Source organism: Homo sapiens, chromosome 10 (genome assembly GCF_000001405.40).
Source record: "Homo sapiens chromosome 10, GRCh38.p14 Primary Assembly".
Classification (NCBI taxonomy): Eukaryota; Metazoa; Chordata; class Mammalia; order Primates; family Hominidae; genus Homo; species Homo sapiens.
The window spans coordinates 54,890,305-54,912,276 of NC_000010.11; the positions used below are offsets into that span (position 1 = coordinate 54,890,305).

At 35.7% G+C, this 21,972-nt stretch overlaps 1 protein-coding gene across 1 annotated transcript in view; it reads right to left on the reverse strand.

Moving 5' to 3' along the window:
- PCDH15 (protocadherin related 15) overlaps positions 1-21,972 on the reverse strand; it is a 1,825,172-nt gene that overhangs the window by 1,087,534 nt on the left and 715,666 nt on the right. The window contains exon 4 of the mRNA NM_001354404.2: positions 7,146-7,196. The gene's annotated coding sequence lies outside the window, so the exon portion shown is untranslated. The remainder of the gene's footprint in view (positions 1-7,145; positions 7,197-21,972) is intronic.

Consider the following 21,972-nt stretch of genomic DNA (forward strand, 5'->3'; position numbering starts at 1 on the left):
AAGTATGATTAAGTCCCTGGGATTCCAAAAATATTCTAACATTATAAGATACATCAATGAGTTTAATGTCCATTTTGGCAAGCAAAAACAAAGCAAAAAGATAAATGTAAATAAAATATAAAATGTAATAAAAAATATAACTGTGCCGTAGTGCTTAAGTCTACAGATGGCAATTTCTACTTAACACATACTATGTGAGATTTTTGCTGGTTATTATGAGAATGGGGAAAACATTAGAGAAGAGAAAGGCTTTGAGGTCCCATGTGCTGCCCAGCTTATTTCTTTTAGGCTCCATGTTTGACCTTCACAGATCCTCATGAAGGTAAGGACAGAATAACAAAACACAAGAGATCATTAGCTAGGTAGAGTATAACACATCACTTGGGATACCATTTGTCTTTATCCATCAAAAATATTTATTATTTTTCAGCTTCCTACAGAATATGTAGTGGTAGGCCTGGCACATGTCATCATCCAAACTGAGTATAATTTTCTTGACTTTGGTACTTGCAACCATCTACATAAAATATATTGCAACTCATCTAGACCTAAAGTTGTCCTCTTTCTCTGAAAAACTACAGCTGCTGTAATTCAGTCTTCAATAAAACACATAAACTCATGCTTAATTGTACATATACATAATATAAAGATATTGCATCACACTCAAAAGGATGAGCAAGTCAAGGAAAGAAGGGGGTCATGTTGAGAAAAATAATATCAGAAAAGGGAACATTATCTCATGTTGGAAATGAGTGGTCCTTTTGACACCGATGCACCATAGGAAATAGAGGACATGGTTGAGAAATACATTATCAATGTTCTAAACAAAATTCAAAAGGCAACTGAAAATTAGGAGTTTTTTCATGTCTTTTGGGTGCCAGACCATCATGTCTATTCTATTCAGATAATTAGACAGTCTGGAAAAGATTGGAATATCTTTAGAGGAAATGCTGAGAGAAAAAATAGGCAAATTCTATCTTCTAACATACATTATCCTAATATGTGAGTCAGTAGCCTTGTGAGCAAGGCCACTGTATTGGGAGAGCATTTTCTGGCCTTCAGACCTACTTTAGCGCAAAAGCAACATAGGATTCAGATCTAGCGATCTCTCCTGAGATTATTACAGTTTCTATGTCTGATCAATAGTGAGAGGATGGTGAATAAAAGTGTGGTCTCTTCTTCTAGCCTACAACATTTGTGAGAAGAAAACTTAGATAGAAAAGTGATATATTCAGAGAGAGGTGTTTTGGTATGTAAGATAGGTAAATGCCAAAGGCAGAGTATGGTCTCTTGCCTTCACATGCCTTTGAGAATTCTGAAAGCCTCATCAAAGTAAACTTTGTAGTTTATTATTGTCAAAAAGAGGGGCACTCTGAATTCTAAGCTTTATTAGCAGTCATTAGTTCTTACGTGTTATACACATCATCTTAGCAGAGAATTTAGCTAATAAGTGGACCAAAACAGGTATTTGTAGCAAGGACAGGTGGTTTTGAAGAAGGCTGTAGAATATGCCTCATTTTTTTTTACAGCCAGCAGGATTCAAATTCAGACTTCATCACAGTGCAAAGTGCTGGTCACTACTGTGCCCTAATCAAGGTCACAAATCATGTAGAGACTCTGACTTCAGATGTAAAGGTCTGGGGGAACAAGGAATGTCATATCAAAGAATAAAGGAGGCAGAGGGCATAGTTCTTAACACATTTTTATTTATATGATCATGAGGACTTTCTGAGTTATACAATACCTGACACTTCTTGTTCCTCACCCCACATACATACACCCCCAGACGCTACTTTAGTGAGAGAATTTGGAGGAAACATTGGCAACACCAAAAGACTGAGCATTTTTTTCATTCAAAAGAGACCAAATAATGCACAGCTCGATCAATTATATAATTGGATTTATTTATTTCTCCTCCCTAGCTAACAAGAATATGGAGGCTTCTGTTGTAGGCTGGATTAGTTACAGTTTAAGTAAAATAAATTTTACTTTCTCAGTAGATCAAATATTTAATTTTGTCAATAAATTAGTGTGATCTAACTGTAAGAATAATGTGAAGTCATTTCCTTGAAGACAAGGAAAAATATTTTAAAATTAAAAGCTATCAAAAAAAGCAGTGAATAACAGGTAAAAGAAGAAACACAGTATCTAGTAAAGTAAAAAAATGCAAAAAAAATTCTCACAAATCAAAAGAAAAGAGTAAAGAGTAACCAATAATTAAACAAAAAACATTGAGATGCATGGAGAATTTATCTGGAATATTCTGTCACCAAATTAGGGAAATTAATGAAAAAAAGAGTGATTATAAACCAATAATTAAACAAACAACATTGAGATGCATGGAGGATTGATCTGGAATATTCCATCACTGAATTAGAGAGATTAATTGAAAAAAATAAATGAGAATGGAAATAATAATAATTTTTCTTTTTTTTTTTTTTTTAAGATGGAGTTTCACTCTTGTCACCCAAGCTGGAGTGCAATGGATCTTGGCTCACTGCAGCCTCTGCCCCCCAGGTTCAAGCAATTCTCTTGCCTCAGCTTTCTGAGTAGCTGAGTTTACAAGTACCTGCCACCACACCTATTTCTAAAAGATATTTTTCCTCAATTTAAAGGAAATCACATATTAAAAATTTCATTTCCAGGCAAACTTAATGAGAAATGTAATATAATACATCTCCTCCTGGACTTTTCAAACATTCATGACAAGGAAATATAGAAGATTGAGAAGGAAAATCATCCAAAGATATTGGAATTAGATTGACACTTAAACTATCTACACTATTAGACACTGGGGTATATTAGGTGGCCCTCAGCTTGAAAAGTTTCAGCTTAAAATTCTTATTCCAGCAAATATGTTACATGTGTTCATAGTAAATAGGAATTTTGAAATACACAAAAAAGGAAATTTTTAAAAAATTCTAAAAATTACACTAAAAACCAAAAATGATAATTAATACCCAGATTTAAAAAAATATGAAATATGTATTATAATGCACTGAAAATGAGAAATTTAACCATAAATGTTTATGTGATTACCATTGATTGAATATACTATTTATTAAGCATTTGCTAAGTGCCATTTAGCTAAATATTTTAACTAAAATAATATATTTAATCTGTAAATTATTTGTGTGAGGTAAGTCCTCACCCCAACTATTATCTCCATATTCTCACTGATGATTTAATGATGGTAATAAAGTAAATTGTCCTTGAGCAGAATAACTTGCTTGGTTAGTGTGTATGTGTTTCGGGTGTGGGGGTGCATTTCCATGAGAAAGCATATAAATATTGTTTAAAAATTAAAACAATAAAATTTTAATCTGAGATTAAATTAAATTAACAAATACTGAAAAAGAGTTGGGTATGTAAACATTCTCTATTCCTCATTTTACAAAATAAAGAGTAATAATTTCCCAGATTACATAAAATATAATAATTCATACTTATGACAGATAAAACTGTTATAGAATTTCTGAATTATTTACACGACAGCTCTAAACAAGTGATGGAATTAAAGCTTGTTCTTCACAGGTTCTTAGAATGTGACTATAGGGAGAAGAAAATCAGTTATTAAATTCTAGATGAGTTACATTGTGGATAGGTCAAACATTTCTCTCACTGTAGCCTTGCTTGTCTAATCATCTGATCACTGGAAAAGCAGCGTTTATACAGTCTGTAATCTGTTTGCTTGCTGTTTATAATAATATACATATTATAATACATTATCAATTAATTTCTTGAAACTTTTGCTAAGCAGGTACATATGACATGATCATTTTACTTATTTGAATTCAGAAGTGTTTTTGTTTTGTGTCTCTTGTCCCATAGAAACATAGCCCATCTCACCAGAAACTTGTCATCTAGCTGGAGAGACAACACTAATACAATGTATTGTCAATGGACAACAAAGTGCATTCATAAAGCAATATATTGTTCAGTGCAATTAGAAGACAAGGGGTTTATAATCTGTGGTTACTTATAGAGTATACATGATGAGGGTAAAACACACTTCAGGTTAGCAAGGCTATATAATGTTTAGGGAAGAATTTAGCAGTCATGCTTGAAGAAAGCCTTAAGTGATAGCATAGGTAGAGAGGCATACAGAAATTATTTTATGAACCACCTAAGCCAAAACAAAAGTAATGTGGGCTAGCCAGACTTAGAAATAGAGGATACAGCACAGGAAAGAAGAGATACAAAATTAAGAGGTTATTCAGATTGACCTGAAAGTTGAACTCCAAATTGGAAACATTTTGTAGTTCAAATATCAGTTATTTGACTGTCTATACCTGTAACAAGCACAATGTTGAAAGTGACTTTTATTTCTGTATTAAAAATTCAGTTATTCCTATGGCCAACCAGAAAGAAACCAAAGGTCATAAAGAAATAAAAATGGCATGTGAATGAAGGAAGTCTGTTTATTATAGAGCATTACAAAAATAGAAGAGAGAGAATTAGCCAAAGCAGGCACCTTCTGCTTCCTTAATGTCCTTTGGGCCTGTATATAAGTAGTGAATGTTAAATATTCTAAAACACTCTGGAAGCCTGCCTTACCAGCACTGATTAAAAGAACTGAATACCAAATGTAACCAACAGATTTCCTTTTCATTTATCTGCTACTGAGAATACTAAATATTTTCTTATCTCCATCACTCTTAGAAGTTCTCTTGCAACGTGCCTATCTATACATATTCATCACTCTGACAGCAGAATCAAGAATAAAAATTCAGATAAGAAAGCATGATGTTCATTCTTTTATCTTTTAAATATGGGACACACATAAAAATAGATATTTGAAGACAGCTTCTTAGAATGAACAATAAAAATAACTACAGTGTATCCTCATTTTACCCTGTTAAGAGTAGAACAATGGCACATACCAATCATTTGGATTGTGGCTACTCATAATTCCTCTTCCCCTAAAAGTCAACCGTGAAGGGCCCATCTATAAGAAATCCTAGATTTACTGCCTCAGGGATTATACTTCTACAGATCATTCCTAGCCTACTACCACTCAGGCAGTAGGAAGGATGATCTAAACACTCAGGTTGAAGACTTTGGAAGTCATAGCAATTCTTGAGCTGAATGTCTGGGTGAGGCTTCATTGTACTATACTCAGACAAATACCTCAAAGACAAGAGATAAGTTTAATATTTGAAAAACTTATTTCATCATTACTGTATTTTTACACTTTCTGTTCTCTGAATAACAGCTTAGAGAAGAGGATTTTGCCCCCTTTGCACTGTTGTCTCATTTGTCAGAGGCCAGAAAGATTCTTTTAGTAATTTAACTATATGATGCCAACTAATAATACGCCTAAAAGAGGCAAGAAATTTCCTCTGCAAAACATTGTTTTGTTTAATTTGGGATATTTTTATTGCAATTTGTCTTTCTGTTTTGGTTACTGATATTTTGGGAACCAAAGAAACAATAGTTCTTATTATTTTGAGGTATATATCACTAAAAAGAACAAGCTGAATCAGTCAAGGTTTTTTTTAGCCATACACGTTAGTCTACTTTTCTTTTAAAATTTATTTGGCTATTGGTGATACTATAACTGAAAAATAGCTAAGGGTATCTAAGGGTATTTTTTTTTTGAGATGGAGTCTCACTCTGTTGCCCAGGCTAGAGTGCAGTGGCACTATCTCGGCTCACCACAACCTCCGCCTCCCGGGTTCAAGCGATCCTCCTGCCTCATCCTCCCGAGTACCCAGGACTAGAGGTGCGTGTCACCACAGCCAGCTAATTTTTGTATTTTTAATAGAGACAGGGTTTCACTATGTTGGCCAGGCTGGTCTCGAACTCCTGACCTTGTGATCCACCCACCTTTGCCTCCCAAAGTGCTGGGATTGCAAGGGTTAGCCACCACGCCCAGGAGTACTTTTAAAGAAACAAAGTAGGTAAACATAAATGCAAATCAGTTATTTTTTATTTAACTTTCAATTTTATTTTACTATAGTCAATTAGAAACATGCATTGAAAGTATAATCATAAAGCATTCACATCTAATTTTGCCTCCTTCAAAAACTAGAGTAGAAACAGCTGAGATACACGAGTTTGAAAAGATTCCAAATTCTATCCAGCTGTTGACTTTTCTGAAAGTTCTGGTGAGAATATAAGAATGAAAACATGACTGAAATAAGGAACTACAATGCTTCTTTCTTGATTTATTCCCTAGATTAAGGTGCAACTGAATTTCCCAGCGGAAAAAAAAAAAATAGCTTAGCTCCATGAACTAGATTTTTACTTGTAATATGAATGCCAAGTCATGCCAATAAGATGTTTTTTTAAAAAATGTTTCTTCTCCTTAAGTTTTCCTAAAATCCAGGGCCTTGAAGATTGACATTTACTTTTCAGATTTTAATATTTCTGCACTTTCTTCCTTCCTTTTAGCAACCACTCAGGCAGAACAACATTGGTTACAAGAGTCTCTTCAAAGAGAAAAGAGCCACAAATAAGTGAATTGGCATATCCAAATGCTTTCGTTGTTAAATGCAATATTTTCCCCTAATAATATACAAAGTAAAAAAAACAATGTTTCTAATATTAAAATCTCAGGTAATAAGTTAATTCAATTTAATATTAGGTGCTTTTATGTGACTCCAATAAGCAATTACATATTGAGAATAAAGAGCCATACACATATATTTTAAAAAGAACTCTTTCAGGGTCTTACTATAACCCAAATTCAGATTTTAGGTTTTATGTTTTTCCAAATATTGATTACTTCATACTTTCCCATGGTCTTGCTCCTGTGGCTGTTGGATTTGGATAAATGTTTCTACATGAGTTACATTCTGTGTATGAATTGCTGCATGACAGTTGCCACATAATACGTTGGCAAGAAAGTCTTTGTTGGATGGCAAATAAATTAAGCAAAACAAACATTTGCATTCTGCTTCAAACAATTAATACTGTACTTGAATAAACCAGCAAATAGTGGACATCTCTATACAAGTGGGTTTTCAATAAAGGGAAAGAACAATCACAACGTAATTGCAACATATCGATGATAGTTGTAACTTGAATTCAAAAATCAACACTCTACTTATGATTCTCTTTTGAGATACAGCTCTTAGTTTGTAAACCGTTGACATGAAATTTTAAACATATACTTGAATATTAAATAAAACATAACATACCTTATTTGCAGGTCTTTGGAATGGTATTTCGAAACATGACAATGCAAATTCCTGTAAATAAAAAGAACTTATTCAGTCAAAGGCATTTTCTAATTTGAATTGAAACAACAATTATGTATTATTTAAAAGAAAACTATTTGTTAACTACTAAGTATTTCTTTATAACTTCTGGTGTTTACATATTTTGTAGCTTGTTTTATATGTTCTTACAGCCAGAAACAAATGTAATATATGTGTGTACCATTAGAAATGTGCTAATTCTACTTAAATTTTGTATTCACAAAATGTTTTATCTTTAAGTGCTTTTAGATTCAGATATTAGATCATTTTGGAAACTAATTTTTCAAATTTCACAAGCAATATGGAAATAATGCATAAGGCATATTGTGTTTGGATTTGATATGCTAGATATTTTACCTAAAACTGAGCAATAAATATAACTGAATATATTTGATGATTACACCTGGGTATTAAAACAGCTTATGAAAAAATCCTTCTTTCTGTATAATATAGTTTGGATATCCCCTCCAAATCTCATGTTGAGACGTAATCTCCAGTGTTAGAGGTGGGGCCTGATGGGAGGTATTTGAGTCATGAGGGCAGATCCCTCATGGCCTGGTGCTGTCCTGGTGACTGTGAGTTCTCACGATGTCTGGTTGTTTAAAAGTGTGTGAGGCCTCCTCAGAAGCAGATGCTGGCACAATGCTTCCTGTACAGACTGCAGAACCATGAGCCAATTAAACCTCTTTTCTTAAAAATTAGCCAGTCTCAGGTATTTCTTTATAGCAATGCAAGAACAACCTAACACATAGTACATATATTTAATATGTTCATTTATTTAAAAATGGAAGAATGATATATTTCACACTGTAATATTTTGAAGAATATCATAATAAAGTTTTGGATAAAATAATACAATAATAAACTAGGGTTATTTTCATATCTTGAAAAAACTATAATTTATTATGTTGGCTTTGAGACAAGATATCTAAGTTAATATTTAAGAGAAGATAATTAAGGAATATTCCAGGATGATAATCACACTATATTTTATTTATATTTCCCAGATTTTTCAGCAACTCTTTCTCTCAATAAGATAAAGATATAATCCATTGTATCATTTTTCTAGCCAATAAATACCTAGTTAAGTACTTACTGGAATACTGAATTTTCTATCCAATAAATACCTAGTTCAGTATTGTTCTAATGAGTATTTATTTACTCCCTGGAATGAGGCAGACTCCTATGAAAGCACTTTCCTTTTTAAAATGTAGTCCCAAGGAAAACAGTACAAGAAACATTTTGAATCCTGAATATATAGATAACATGTAGCATGAAAGATTCTAGTTCTAACCATAGTTTCAGTATATCATGTCCATTTAAAAAATACAAAACTGGTAAATTAAAAGAGTAGATGTATATTTGTTAATGCTAAGTGTTTTACTACAAAAGCGAAATCATATATGGTACAATAAGAGACAAAGGTACAAAATCATAGAAGGGGAAGGAAACTTGGAGATCATGGAGACTGAACTCCATTTTTCTGCAAGATAGAGTCTTGCTTAAGTCATGCAGCACATTCATAACAAGCCTGGAATTGGAAGCTATCATAAAAGTAACGATTGCCATTTAAAAAAAGTATTATTACACGAAAAGAAATTCAGCTGTATGAAGTTCCTGTAAATAATTCACTTGCTGGACGTAGAGTATTTATTTGTGGAAATTAGATGAATATAAAGTGGATCTAAGTTATATCCTAATACATGAAGATGATGCAAATAACTGATGCTGAAATAGTTTATCCTTAAGGTATTTTTTAGTTCTTTAATTTTTATCTTAATATTTCAAATTTTATTATTTATCACAAGGATACAAAAGCAAATATCTATTTAAATGGTGCTAGCTTTCTTTTTCAGCTGTTTCTAAGAGTGAGAAAATAAATTTATAAAGTTTATAAATTATCACAGGAATGGTTTTATTTTTACTTCATGATCATGATTAAAGATAATTCCCCTCCCCTCCCCTCCCCTCCCCTTCCCTTCCGTAATTTTCTTTTCTGTTTTTTGAGACGGAGTCTCACCCTGTGGCCCAGGCTGGAGTGCAAAGGTGCGATCTTGGCTCACTGTAACCCCCGCCTCCCGGGTTCAAGCAATTCTCCTGCCTCAGCCTCCCAGGTAGCTGGGACTACAGGTGCCCACCACCAGGCCTGGCTAATTTTTTGTATTTTTAGTAGAGATGGGTTTCACCGTATTAGCTAGGATGGTCTCGAACTTCTGACGTTGTGATCCGTCCACCTCGGCCTCCCAAAGTGCTAGGATTATAAGCATGAGCCACCGTGCCCGACCAAAGATTATATCTTTCTATTTGTATTACTCTTATAACTTTCTAACAAAGGAATGACATATTTTTCAAATATGTATTTCAGTAGAAAATAATTTTTAGAGTTGCTTAAAATTTGCTGTGCATTCCAATAATAAAGTGCTTTAAAAAAAAAGACATTTAATCAAAGCCTCCCTAAAATGTTTCTCAATTGTAACAATTAGTATTCTTTATCTGCCTATGCAATTAACTGTAAGAAAAAAAATTAAAACATATACACCCACAAAAGATTGACTGTGTTGTTGTCACTAATTGTTTAAATATTTTACTTACTTATTTAAGGCATGTTCAAACTTATTGATCACTATATACCAGGTGTATCTGCCATCTTCCTAGACAACTGGAATATATCAGTAAACACATTTTTAAAAGTCTTTTACTTCGGCACTTACTTGGCAGCAATACCCAGGAAATAAACAATGTGCAACACAAATAAAACAAGTAAATTATATATAATATTCGAACGTGATAATTTTAAGGGGAAAATTGTCAGTGTAAAAAAAAGAAGGTTGTGAGTAAGGTGGCTGAAACTTATAATATTTAATAAACAGGGCAGATTGAAGGAGATTTGAGCAAAGTCTTAAATAATCCTTGTTGATTTTATCTAAAGTTTAGGATAAAGTTTGTTAGTATTTAGTTAAGGTGGTAACTGAATAAATGATAAAAGTTAAACTTGTTTGCATTTCAAAAGGAAGAAATTAATTTCAATCCATTACTTTTACAAATAAAAATTGCATTCTACAGATTTATTCAGGAATGCCTTTGACATTAAAAGCATTGCTATGATTTGGTTTTTTAACACAAACATCACCAAGATATATTCCAATTTGCTTAAACAAAAAGTTTATATATGACAATGTATAAATGGCAACAATACCTTGTTCTAGATATGAATTTCACTACTGAATAGGAGCATAGTGTGGAAATTAACCTTCAGCGACCCAGTTTATGTCTCAGTTTCAATGTAGTAAACTTGTCACAAAATGTTTCAGTTTCAGAATAAGCAAGCCAAGCTACCAAAAAGCTCTCCCCTTTATCTTGTAATTAGAGTATTATGATAGTATTGGTCAACAGGCAATGTTCAGATTGCTTTAGGAATTAATTATTAAAAGATGCAGCACTAGATTTTCACATTTAGGGTATCATTTGTGCTCTAGACCTTGTGATAACAATAACCAAGTGAATATTAAAATAGAACAAAGCAGCCAGGTGTGGTGGCTCGTGCCTGCAATCCCAACATTTTGGAAGGCCGAGGCAGGTGTATCACTTGAGCTCAGAAGTTAAACAGCCTGGGCAACAAAGTAAGACCCCCCTCCACCATCTCTACAAAAAATTAGCCTGGTGTGGTGGCGTCTGTATGCCAGATACTCAGGAGCCTGAGGTGGAAGGATCACTTGAGCCTGGGAAGTGGAGGTTGCAGTGAGCTGAATGATAGAGTGAGACCCTGTCTCAAAAATAAATAAATGAATAAAATAAAATAGGACAAAGCTAGTGCATTAAGGTTACAGTTTTCTGGAACTGCTTAATTGGTACAATTTTATTGCAGAACCTCATCAACCAGTGTCAAGTCTCTATGAAATATATGTAATATTGCTTTCGAATGTAGATTTTGGTGTTTATAAGACACAGATAATTTTATCATCTGGTGGCAATATACATGCTAATAATGTGATTTATTCATGAATTTGCCTTATATTTTAGCAACTGACATACACACATATATTTATTTCATGACCACATTATTTTAGAGATTTACTCCTACCTTAAATAAATGTCATTTTTTTCTAACATGTAGTCAATGTAATTTACCTGGCACCTACACAGATAGTCTCATGTAGTCCTTACATGACTCATATTATAATCCATTACTTCTATAGAAAAACCTCACTGAAAATGACTTGATAATGCTTGTGAATATATAGTTAAGATCCCTATTGCCTCTTTTAATAAATCAGTTTGAGCAAATAAAAGTGAAATATTTGTAGTCATTTATTTCAAAAGTTCTAGGAATAAATCCTATACAATGTATTTGGGAGATAACCTAATTATTATGGAATGCATTAATTTCTTCTCATCAGAAAATCATAATTTTATAACTGTGCATCTGAAGGTCTTCTATATATATATTTATTAAGCAAATTTACCAAATATTCATATTGATACATTCCATTCAAATGATTTTTTTTTGCAATGTTACAGGACCCGTTCTTCCAAAAGCTCATGAAATCACAGCTTCAAATTCACCAGTAGTTTAATGTAACTGAAACAAGCAAACAAACAAATGACTGTCTCATTTATATTCAAAGAATGAATTTTATTTTATATCTTGATATTAAGTTGTTGGACTTAATCAATAAGCTCTATACCTACTTTCATATATTATCATGTCAGATAAAAAACAAATGTGGATGCACGTGTCACTATCCTATTTGAAAGAGCTGATACACCACTGATACTGTTTGGTTTTGTGTCCCCACCCAAATCTCATGTTGAGTTGTAATCCTCAATGCTGGGGGAGGAGGCTGGTGGGAGATGATTGGATTATGGGGTCAGATTTCTCCCTTGTCATTCTCGTGATAATGATTTCTCAGGAGATCTGGTTGTTGGAAAGTGTGTAGCACATCCCCCTTTGGTCCCTCTCTCTTCTGTCACCATATTAAGAGATGCTTGCTTCCCCTTGCCATTCTGCCATGACTGTAAGTTTCCTGAGGCTTCCTCAGCCATGCTTTCTGTACAGCCTGTGGAACTGTGAGTCAATTAAACCTCTTCTCTTTATAAATTACCCAGTTTCGGGTAGTTCTTTATAGCAGTGTGCAAACAGACTAATATAACAACAAACCAGAAGATATGTCATTTCTGGGCGAAATATCAGTGCCCTTACTGAGGATGTATATTTGCTCTCTCCCCCAAATGGTTGTAATCTGCTCTAGATAAATAAATTCATGGAATGTTTGTACCTTGGTTGCATCTTCTCATTAGCTATTTATTTCAGTCATTTGAGAGGGAGGGAAAGAGCATGGGCTTTAAAGACAGCCATAGATAGGCAGTTTTGTGCTGCAATTTCAGCAGTCACTGTACTTGGGCAAGCTGCTTCATCTCCTCGGGTTACAGGTTTTTCTTTCCTAATTAGGGGGATTATCATCACAATGTATATAATATGGAACCTAGCCTGTTTAACAAGTAATGGCTTTTATCCTTGATTTTTCAAATTAGACTTTGTTCTTTAGGTGGCCAAATATATATGAGTATTTTCATTGCCCTTCCTTTACTCAAATGCAGAAAAGAGTGTCCTTCATAAAGATGACGGTTGGAGGTATGAAGGAGGAAACAGACTAGGTACGAAAGAAAAGAAGGGATACCAAGCCAATAACATCAACACTACAGTGTTCGTTTGGATGGGAAGTGGCTACATCACTAAACAATTGAATATATGGCTTTTTTGAACATACAATTTCAAATTTTATTATATTCTATGTGTTTAAAATAGTCTTAGCAAAGCATTACTCATTACCTTTAAAGTAAGTTGAAGCTATCATTTAATTCACAGGTTAAGAAAGTATACCAAATTCATTTTGAAGACCATTCAGACTTCCAAAGTATAATAGCTAAGAATATGATGATCACTTTGTTCCCCATTAGAATGTTCCCCTGTATAGGTCACATATAATATTGTAACTACAAAAACAAAATGAAATCTGAAAAATAAAATAGAAATAAGAAACTAAACCTATTTTTTGCCATGTTTTTTTTTTGGGAAAAAGTATTTTATGAAGCATTAAAGAGCAGTAAGTATAATTAAACTGTAATCCAGTATTAGAAACAATCTAATAATAGTCCAATTCAAAAATAAAAATTATTGTAGGTATGACCATGAAATTTCCTGACACCTGATTTAATGCATTGTGCTAATTTTCTAAAACAACTCAGAGGAACCAAATCATTTTTTCCACAAACACACTATTCTGTATGTCTTCATTTTATTGCAGTGTTTCAATAGTTATTTAAATGGTAGAGTTCATTTGTCAAGTGAATATGAAGAGCGTAGTTCCCTCCCACAACAATAAAACTACAGGCTGCCAAGTCAAGATGTATAATTGGTAATGCTGAGCCATTTATTCTGAGTGCACTCTAGACAATGACATATTATTACTATTATGGCACAAATAACTGCCTTTTTGAAGCAAATGTTTTCACTGGCTTTAGTTAGGATGCTGTCCTATTCCTTTTAACATAATACTGATGCCCTCAGTATTATTTTATATATGTCAATGAAACAATATCATGCTGTGAAATTTATGATAAAAGCAAAACTAAAAATCATTGGTTGATTTTTGTTTCCCCCTCTCTTCCTTTTAACTTCAGCTTTGCAAAATCACTATGTATTCTGCTGTGGAAGTATAATTAATGTTATTTTCTTCTTATTACTATATTTTAACTTTGCATCTTAAGCCTAAATTTTAGCCTATTCATGTAAGGTTGTACTTTAAACAATACCTCCAATAGATTTTCATACTCCATCTAACTATACAAAGAGAAGAGACTATCTAGTTACAATTTATGTATTTGATTGTGGTAGCTTATGCCTACCCTAAATATTTTCCCTCCTAGGTCAACCTGGTTTGGGTTCAATTATATGATGATTAAAAAAAAAATCTCAGGTTGGAACAAAATCTATATAATAAGATGACAAAATACTTTCATAACTATTTCAGTTATAGCTTCTACTAAGTTGCATTTACAATGATATATTTACATAACAGCATAATGGATAGAAATATAAAGAGAGAGACCTTTTGTCTCTCTGTGCCATCAGAATGAACCATGACATTTAGGTGCCTTGAGGAAAGACTAGAAATAAACTACCAATCAGGCAAATGAACAAACAAAAACAGAATAATTTCTTTCCTAGCTGCCCCACACTTTATCACATCACTTCAGTATGCCCCACTTCCTTAACTCTAATCAATTTCCATGTGCCATTTGAGGTACCACAGCTCACTCTCAGAAGGTCAAGAGGTAAAGTGTGGAGAAAAGGGAAGAAGGTGGGTATAAATTAAAAAAAACAAAAAGGACAAAGATAAAATACAAGATAAATTAAAATTATATTTTTAAATTAGCTTTTGTTCCTTGAGCATCTGCTATGTATCAGGCATTCTCTATTACCTATTTTCGTTCTGGCCACACAACTACACTATGAAGCAGATATGACTGTACCACTTTCAAATTCATATAAGAAAACCAATGTTCAGAGAAGTTGTCTGAGGTCCCACACCTAATAAATAAATGACAGAGCAAGGATTTGGCCTCAAAGTCCAGATTCTTTCCTCAGTTGCACAGTGCCACATTATAAATGTGTTGATACACTGAAATAGAAGAATAATATCAAAAGTATTTCTTTTTATTTTCTCTCAACAGGGATTAATAATAATAATTATGTCAGAACTTGGGCACAGGCTTTAATCCTTAAAATTCTTTTAATCATTATTTTATCATCATAAGCACATACAAGCAACACTGTATTTATTTCGCTGAAATGTATAAAATCCTGGCATAGCCAATGAATTTGTTTGATAAATTATGAGATAAATTCAGCTAATGGAGTTTCCAAGCATGCTGTCAAAGAAATAGAATCATGCATTTATGAATTTTTCCATATTTTTCTTCATTTCTAATGCAACTAGTTAATTATTTGATCTCTTTATCACTTTAAAAGCTTTGTAATAGTTCAGATGATGTGAGATTATTTGCAAACAAGATAAGAAATGCCAGTTCCTGGGACAGTTATAGGAAGCCTGAGAAGGTAAGGCTTTTCAAGGAAACTAGGTCGTGAAAGAGAATATTGCTATAATCCTTAGAAAGCTGGATAGAGTTGTCTTTTCCAATATTAATATGAGGCTCAATAGTTCCATATGGACAAGAACAGGGGTTGAGATCTCTGAGTCATGCAGAACTCTTCTGTCAAAACAGAACAGTTGCAGATGTGTCATGAATACAAAAATTTCTCCCTCTTAACATTTCCTTTTCAATAGGATAAGCCACTTTTAATGCAGCAGATTAACCGATTTACTTTCTAAATATGCTCAGATTTACTTTCTAAATATACTCAGATTAAGTTAAATTGGTTAATCTCATTTGGCCTTACATCTGGTAACAATGTACAATTCAAAGGTTTACATAAAGGGAACTCTTTAGTAAAGACAAAGGAGGAAAAGGCAAAATCTTTCTCTCACCCTAAGGTCAGAGTGAGCTTCCTTCAGGCATTAAACTGCTGAAGAACTGCATCTAAGCAACAAGGGAGATAAATCAAAAGGGGCTGGTTCAGAAATTTCCTAGGTAGAAAAGAATCCAACATCCAATTTGTAAATTGATACTTCCAGAATATTATCCACATCATTGAAAGTCTGCACAAGAATCATTAGCAGTGGAGGACCCAGATGACTATTCTCTCTGAATATTCTCTTTCAAATACAACAGTCTTTAAAATACAACTCAGAAATCGATTAGATTATTTTTTTATTTTCTTTCTACTTTAATTTAAATTGCAACAATTTAAATATATTTTCAATCCAGAACTGTTAATAATTTTACCAAGCTCACATTAAAATAAAAAATAAATTCCAAAATAAATGCATTCATATGTACATACAATTTGATGATTTTAAATTTTATTTTGTTCTCTCTATGTTTAATTTCATAATTTAAACTCCAGGATTTATTTGAGGATTGTTTGAAATAATGTAGGCAGAACAATTAGCTCAGTGCTAGGCTCTTAACTAATTGCCAGGGGTAATATTCCTCCAACATCTCCGTGTCAGTTTGCTTGAGAAATAACCTGGAGGAGAGAGAGTGCCCAACATTTTGCAAATTCAAAAGGTAAGAGAGGTTCATTTATAAAGGTACATCCTAGTATATAAGACAGCAAGTACATAGGAATCCATGACTGTATGTTGAATATTGTTATCAGATATGCTAAGAAATGTTTAAAATCCCACCATCAGTGTCTCCCTAGGAATTTCTGTTTTCTCATAAGATTATTAGGTCTTAACATGCAGGCATCATGTTAACATGCAGAAATCACATTACCCTAATAATTGCTGTCTCCTCAGATCCTGGCACACTGTCTGGAAAACAGGAAGTATCCAGTAAAAGTGAGTTTAATTACAATATATTGGCCACAAACCTAATGGATCCATGTTTTCTGCTTTTTGTATGTGCACCATCACTCTGCATTTTCTTTTCTTGGCAGAAGTCACAGAGAAAAGGAAAGAGATGATTCCTTTCCATGAGTGTATATTGGTAGGTCATTGATGACTCAGCTATAATTCAAATGTATATATTTCTCTGGGGAAAACAGGTTGTAATTACTAAACAAGAAAGCAAAATTAATGACACTAATAAATATATGACACACTAAATATATTCCAGGTATGCTTCTAACAGACTAACTGAAAAATATCTGATTTTTACCCAATATAATTATGCATGTATTTCTTCTTTTTTATATTCTCCAAAATGTATTGAGAAGAAACTGAATCAGAAAACAACCCTTCCTCTGGATACACTATAAATCCCCCCTGCAAGCACTACAGCATTTTTACTGTTGACAATTATTTCTTCCACAATGCAGTGTCATGTGATGAAGACGTCACATACTGAACTTAGTATTTATCCAGTCTTTAGCTGTGTTTTCACTGTATGCTCTCTTGGTCTCTGCCCTTTGATTCACGTGAATCCTCATTATTGTTCTGGTTGTTGCTATTGTCATTGTTAAGGCCCCCTGGGAACACTCATTCCTATAAATACAATGTTCTCCAAAAAAATATGAAATTTATCCTCTTTGCTCCCCAAATTGTCCCTTAAATAGTTTATGTCTGTAAGCACAATAATAAACCAATGAGGTATATGTGTGATATTGCAATATTGTGATCTAGGGATAATTATTTTCTGTACTGCAACCCTTTTAAATTCCTAATGATATAATTGAAAATAATTTTAAGAAATTTGTATAGATACACCATACCCTATGAAAGCTGGTCTTTCTCAATAAAAGACTGGACAACCCTAAGGTAGGCCTAAGAAGTCAAGAACCCTGGCCCCTCTTTCTGAAGAAGTATGCTGTTACATTGCTGGGATATTCAGACAGAATATTCTGCTGGGAGAAACCCAATCCAGAACTTTTCAGAAACACACAGGCTACAGAGACATTGTTATGGGATCCTCAGGGTGTCACTTCACCAGCTGGAAACCTCTGTGGCCAGTGGTGCCTTTGCCTGAGTTTTGCTCTGGCCCACTGGGCTGGTTCTGATAACTCAGCCTGGCAGGCTGTGCTCAACTCTGCTACATGCTTGGATCCCATGCCTGCCGAGGGTGAGCCTGGCCCAGAGTGGCAAGGGGTGTATGAGTGGGCATGGGGTTCAGTTATAGTGCATAGCCAGGCACACTGGCTGCGGCATGGCAGGCAACTCCAGGTGCTGGCACAGTCACCAGCTCCCTGAGAGACTGTGGTTGGACAAGGCGTACCATAACCAGCTTCTACAGGTGATAGTGGGGTTTGCAGTGTGGTGCCAGAAACTTGGAGACACCAGGAACTGCAGAGCCCTAAATAGGCTGTCACAGCCCTGGCCTGGGGAGCTTCTAGGTCTGGGGCCCCACAAGGCCACAGCTCTTACCTCCTCTCATCCCTCCTTTTTGTCACCTGCAACATGGCAGGCAACAGGCAAGTTTCCGCCCATATCGTGTTACAGTTACAGCTCTTTTAGCTCTAACATTTGCCTTGTCCAGAGTTCTTGTCCTGCATCCAGGAAGAAAGAGGTGTGCAGACAAGTGGAGCTTTATTGAGCAGTAGAACAGCTCAGAGGAGACCCGCAGTGGGCAAATCATTTCTGTAAACGGTGTCCTGGAGAGTGTTCAGCTCTCAGCAGAGAGGGTAGCTCTTCTCCATTAGGTCATCCCAATGGGTGTTCAGCTCTCAGCAGAGAGGGTAGCTCCTTTCCGTTAGGCAGGTCATCCCAATATGTGTTCAGCTCTCAGGGGAGAGGGTAGCTCCTCCCTGTTAGGCAGGTCATCCCGATGAATGCTCAGCTCTCAGCAGAGAGGGTAGCTCCTTGTTGCAGCTGGTCATCCTGTCATCTCTTCAGCTCTCAGCAGAAAGGGTAACTTCTCTCTGCTAGGCAGGTCATCCCGACGAGTGTCCAGCTTTCAGCAGAGAGGGTAGTTTCTCTCTGCAGCTGGTTGTTCCATCATCTCCTTGAGCCTGGCTGAGCCCAGGGCTTTTGTGGGCTTCCAAAAGGAGAAAATGTGTGCTGATTGGTCTATGTGCTGTCATGGGTGGGCCCAGAAAAGGCACCACGAGTTCTCACTCCAGTCTGCGGGACACAAAGCCCAGTCCCCAGGCTTCAGGCCTTCCCTGGCTTGAAGGTGGGGCTTCACCAAGACCCCATCTTCCTCTGAGAAGCCTGATAGCCTCCTGCCTCTGTTCATGGAGCCCAGGTTATTAATGCCAAGGGGTGCCTGCAGGCCAGTGCAGAGCTTTCCTTAGCCCCTGTCTCAGCCTCCCTCCCAGGCTTGTTTGCACCCAAAGTCTCGAGGAGGCCAAGGTAGCATGGGGCTGGTGTATCAGCACTGCCTCGAGCATGTGCACCCCTGGACAGGTTGTGACAACACCTAGGACTGGCCTCATCTTTGCTCCCTGATTGAGCAGGCCCAACTGTGGGGAGAAGCCAGACAGTGTGAGCAGTCACTTCTGAGCCTGCGGTGACAGGGAGGCATTCCTGGGCCCTCAGAGTGCAAAGATTCCCTGGCCCATAGCTGCAGCTTGGGCAGCTGCAGCTGTGCCTAGGAGGGTGGGGCTCCTGCCTGCTCCCAGCTCCCAGAGCACAGGGGTGTCTGGGTCACAGCAGCTGCTTGGGCAGCTGCAGTTGCTCCTGGGGAGCAGACACTGGCTCTGTGGAGCGCAGCACCACCTCGGACCTGCTCCACTTGGGGGCCCTTCTCTGCTCCAGCCTTTATGCTGGAACAAACTGCTCCCTGATGATCAGGTGACTCAGCCAGGCCCCTCACGATGGCTCCCAGGGAGGTGGTCTCCAGGGGGGTCTCAGGGGAAGGCTCTGGGGACTGTCCTTCTCTTCTCCCCGTTTTCCTGGTGGTGCCTTCAGCTGGGTGCTTTCAGGCTACCAAAATACAGCGGGGAGCAAAGTTGAGGCCATGGCAAAGACCCCAGGCCTGGGAGAAGTCCTGCCCATCTGTGCGAGGGTGGAGGTGGCATAGTTAGCTGCTTCAGGGATGTGGGACACAGGGGTCCCACTGCCACCACTGCTGCTCCCACAGTTGCTCCTGCTGCCATCACTGACACCTCCCCACTGCAGCTGGCTGGATGGCAGCACCTGCTCCAGATAGCCTGTGGCGGCCATCAATACCACCAATACCTTCTTCTGTCATCAAGGTACAATCTCCCCTGCACCAAGTGGGGAGAGTTATATATTCCTGAGCAAAAAACTCCATTCACTCTTCATTTACTCAAGTTCTGAAGGTAAAGATAAACCGGAATTACAAGCATATTTTTTTCCTTATATTTGAGTGTCTATGTTATCTGTTTAATGGACTGCTTTGTTTAAAAAGAGATATTTTCTTAGTCTCACCACAGAAAATAACAAATAACATTTTGATTAGATTAAGATAGATGTCATCATTGGAAATCTAGGCCTAACCCTGAGGATTGAGAATGGTATATGATCCACTTCCTTTCTGTGCACAATATATTAATCCCCATCAGATCACCTAACTACAATGAAAATTTGCCTGACTACCCCTTCATTTTACCAAAATTCTATTGATAATACCTACTCCAACATTTTCAACTGATTTTTATCCTTTGTATGCAGAATAAGGTATGCAAAACAATAGGTTTTTGTTAAATTTTCATTCAGAAAATCAGTGAACTATTAACTATTTGTTGAATAAATAAATAAATGAACAAACAAGTAACAAACCAGTATCAGCAGAGATTGGATCCAATATTGTATCTCAATAAAATGGGACTGCATCATGTGGTCAGGGTTCACCAGACTTCACAGTGCAGAGGCAATTGAGATGGGACAGTGGAAACCATAATTATTACAGGGTGAATCAGCGTAGTAAAAATAAAGGAAACAAAGACATGTTGGAGATGAGATTAGTGCTCAGGTATCAGGGAAAGATGGTTGACAAGAATGGAATGAAAATAGTTTCATAATCTGGAAAGGATGAAGTGAAATATCCGCCCTAGTACCTAATTTTTAAGACTTTGAGTTTCACTCTTAGTTTTTCTGGCAGCCATATTCTGAGGCAGATAACACAGGTCTTCAGATGCAGATCACACAGGTCTTCAGATACAGTTTCACCGGTTAAGCTCAGATTTCATAGAAGGAGTTCATTTCTTACTAGGATTACTTTGCAGGGGAAGAGACATATTTAACAAATCTAAACCTCCATTAGCCTTGTATCAATTGGTACAAATTTTTGTTATAAGTTTTAGAAATCCTAAAATTATACTGATTTAAGGAAATTAATTGGTGGATATAAATGAAAAGTTTAGACATGCTTAGATATACAGGTTCAAAGAATGATAACAGACATAAGACAATAAACTATTTTTAATAATCTATATGATGGGTATAAAATACAATAAATGAATGATAAAAAGAGCACAGTACCTAGAGAAACACACACTCAACTTTACTCTTTTTAACTTTTTGCCAAATGTTTTCAGATTTTGCTCTGTTAGGCATTGATATGATTTGGCTTTGAGTCCCTACCTAAATCTCATATTGAATTGTAATCCCCAGGTGTCAAGGGAGGGACCAGGTGGAAAGTGACTGGATCTTGGGGTCGGTTTCTTCCATGCTGTTCTCCTGATAGTGAGAGAGCTCTCATGAGATCTGGTTGGTTGATAAGTGTCTGGCAGTTTCCCTTGCACTCTGTCTCTCTTGCCACCTTGTTACGATGTGCCTTGTTTCCCTTCACCTTCTGTCATGATTATAAGTTTCCTGAGGCCTCCCAGCCATGCAGAACTGTGAGTCAATTAAACCTCTTTTCTTCATAAATAACCCAGTCTCAAGTAGTATCTTTATAGCAGTGTAGAAAAGAACTAATACAAACATCCATTGGTCTTTAACTGTAGCAAACCACATTCATCATTATTATTATTTCTATTGGTGTAGATATGGAGAAATGACATGATTTATGAATAGTAGGTTTGAATAACATTAACTTTCTTACATTTTTATTCTAGACTTGTTGATTCTGTTTTGTGTGTCATAATACAGTGAGTACCATTCCATAGTAGACAAATTTTGAATATTTTCATATATATATTTATAAATAAATGCTAATTCAGTTAAGTTTAATAAGTATTTACCAGTAATATGAAATTAAAAATTTTATATGGCTTTAGGAAGATACTAGATATAGT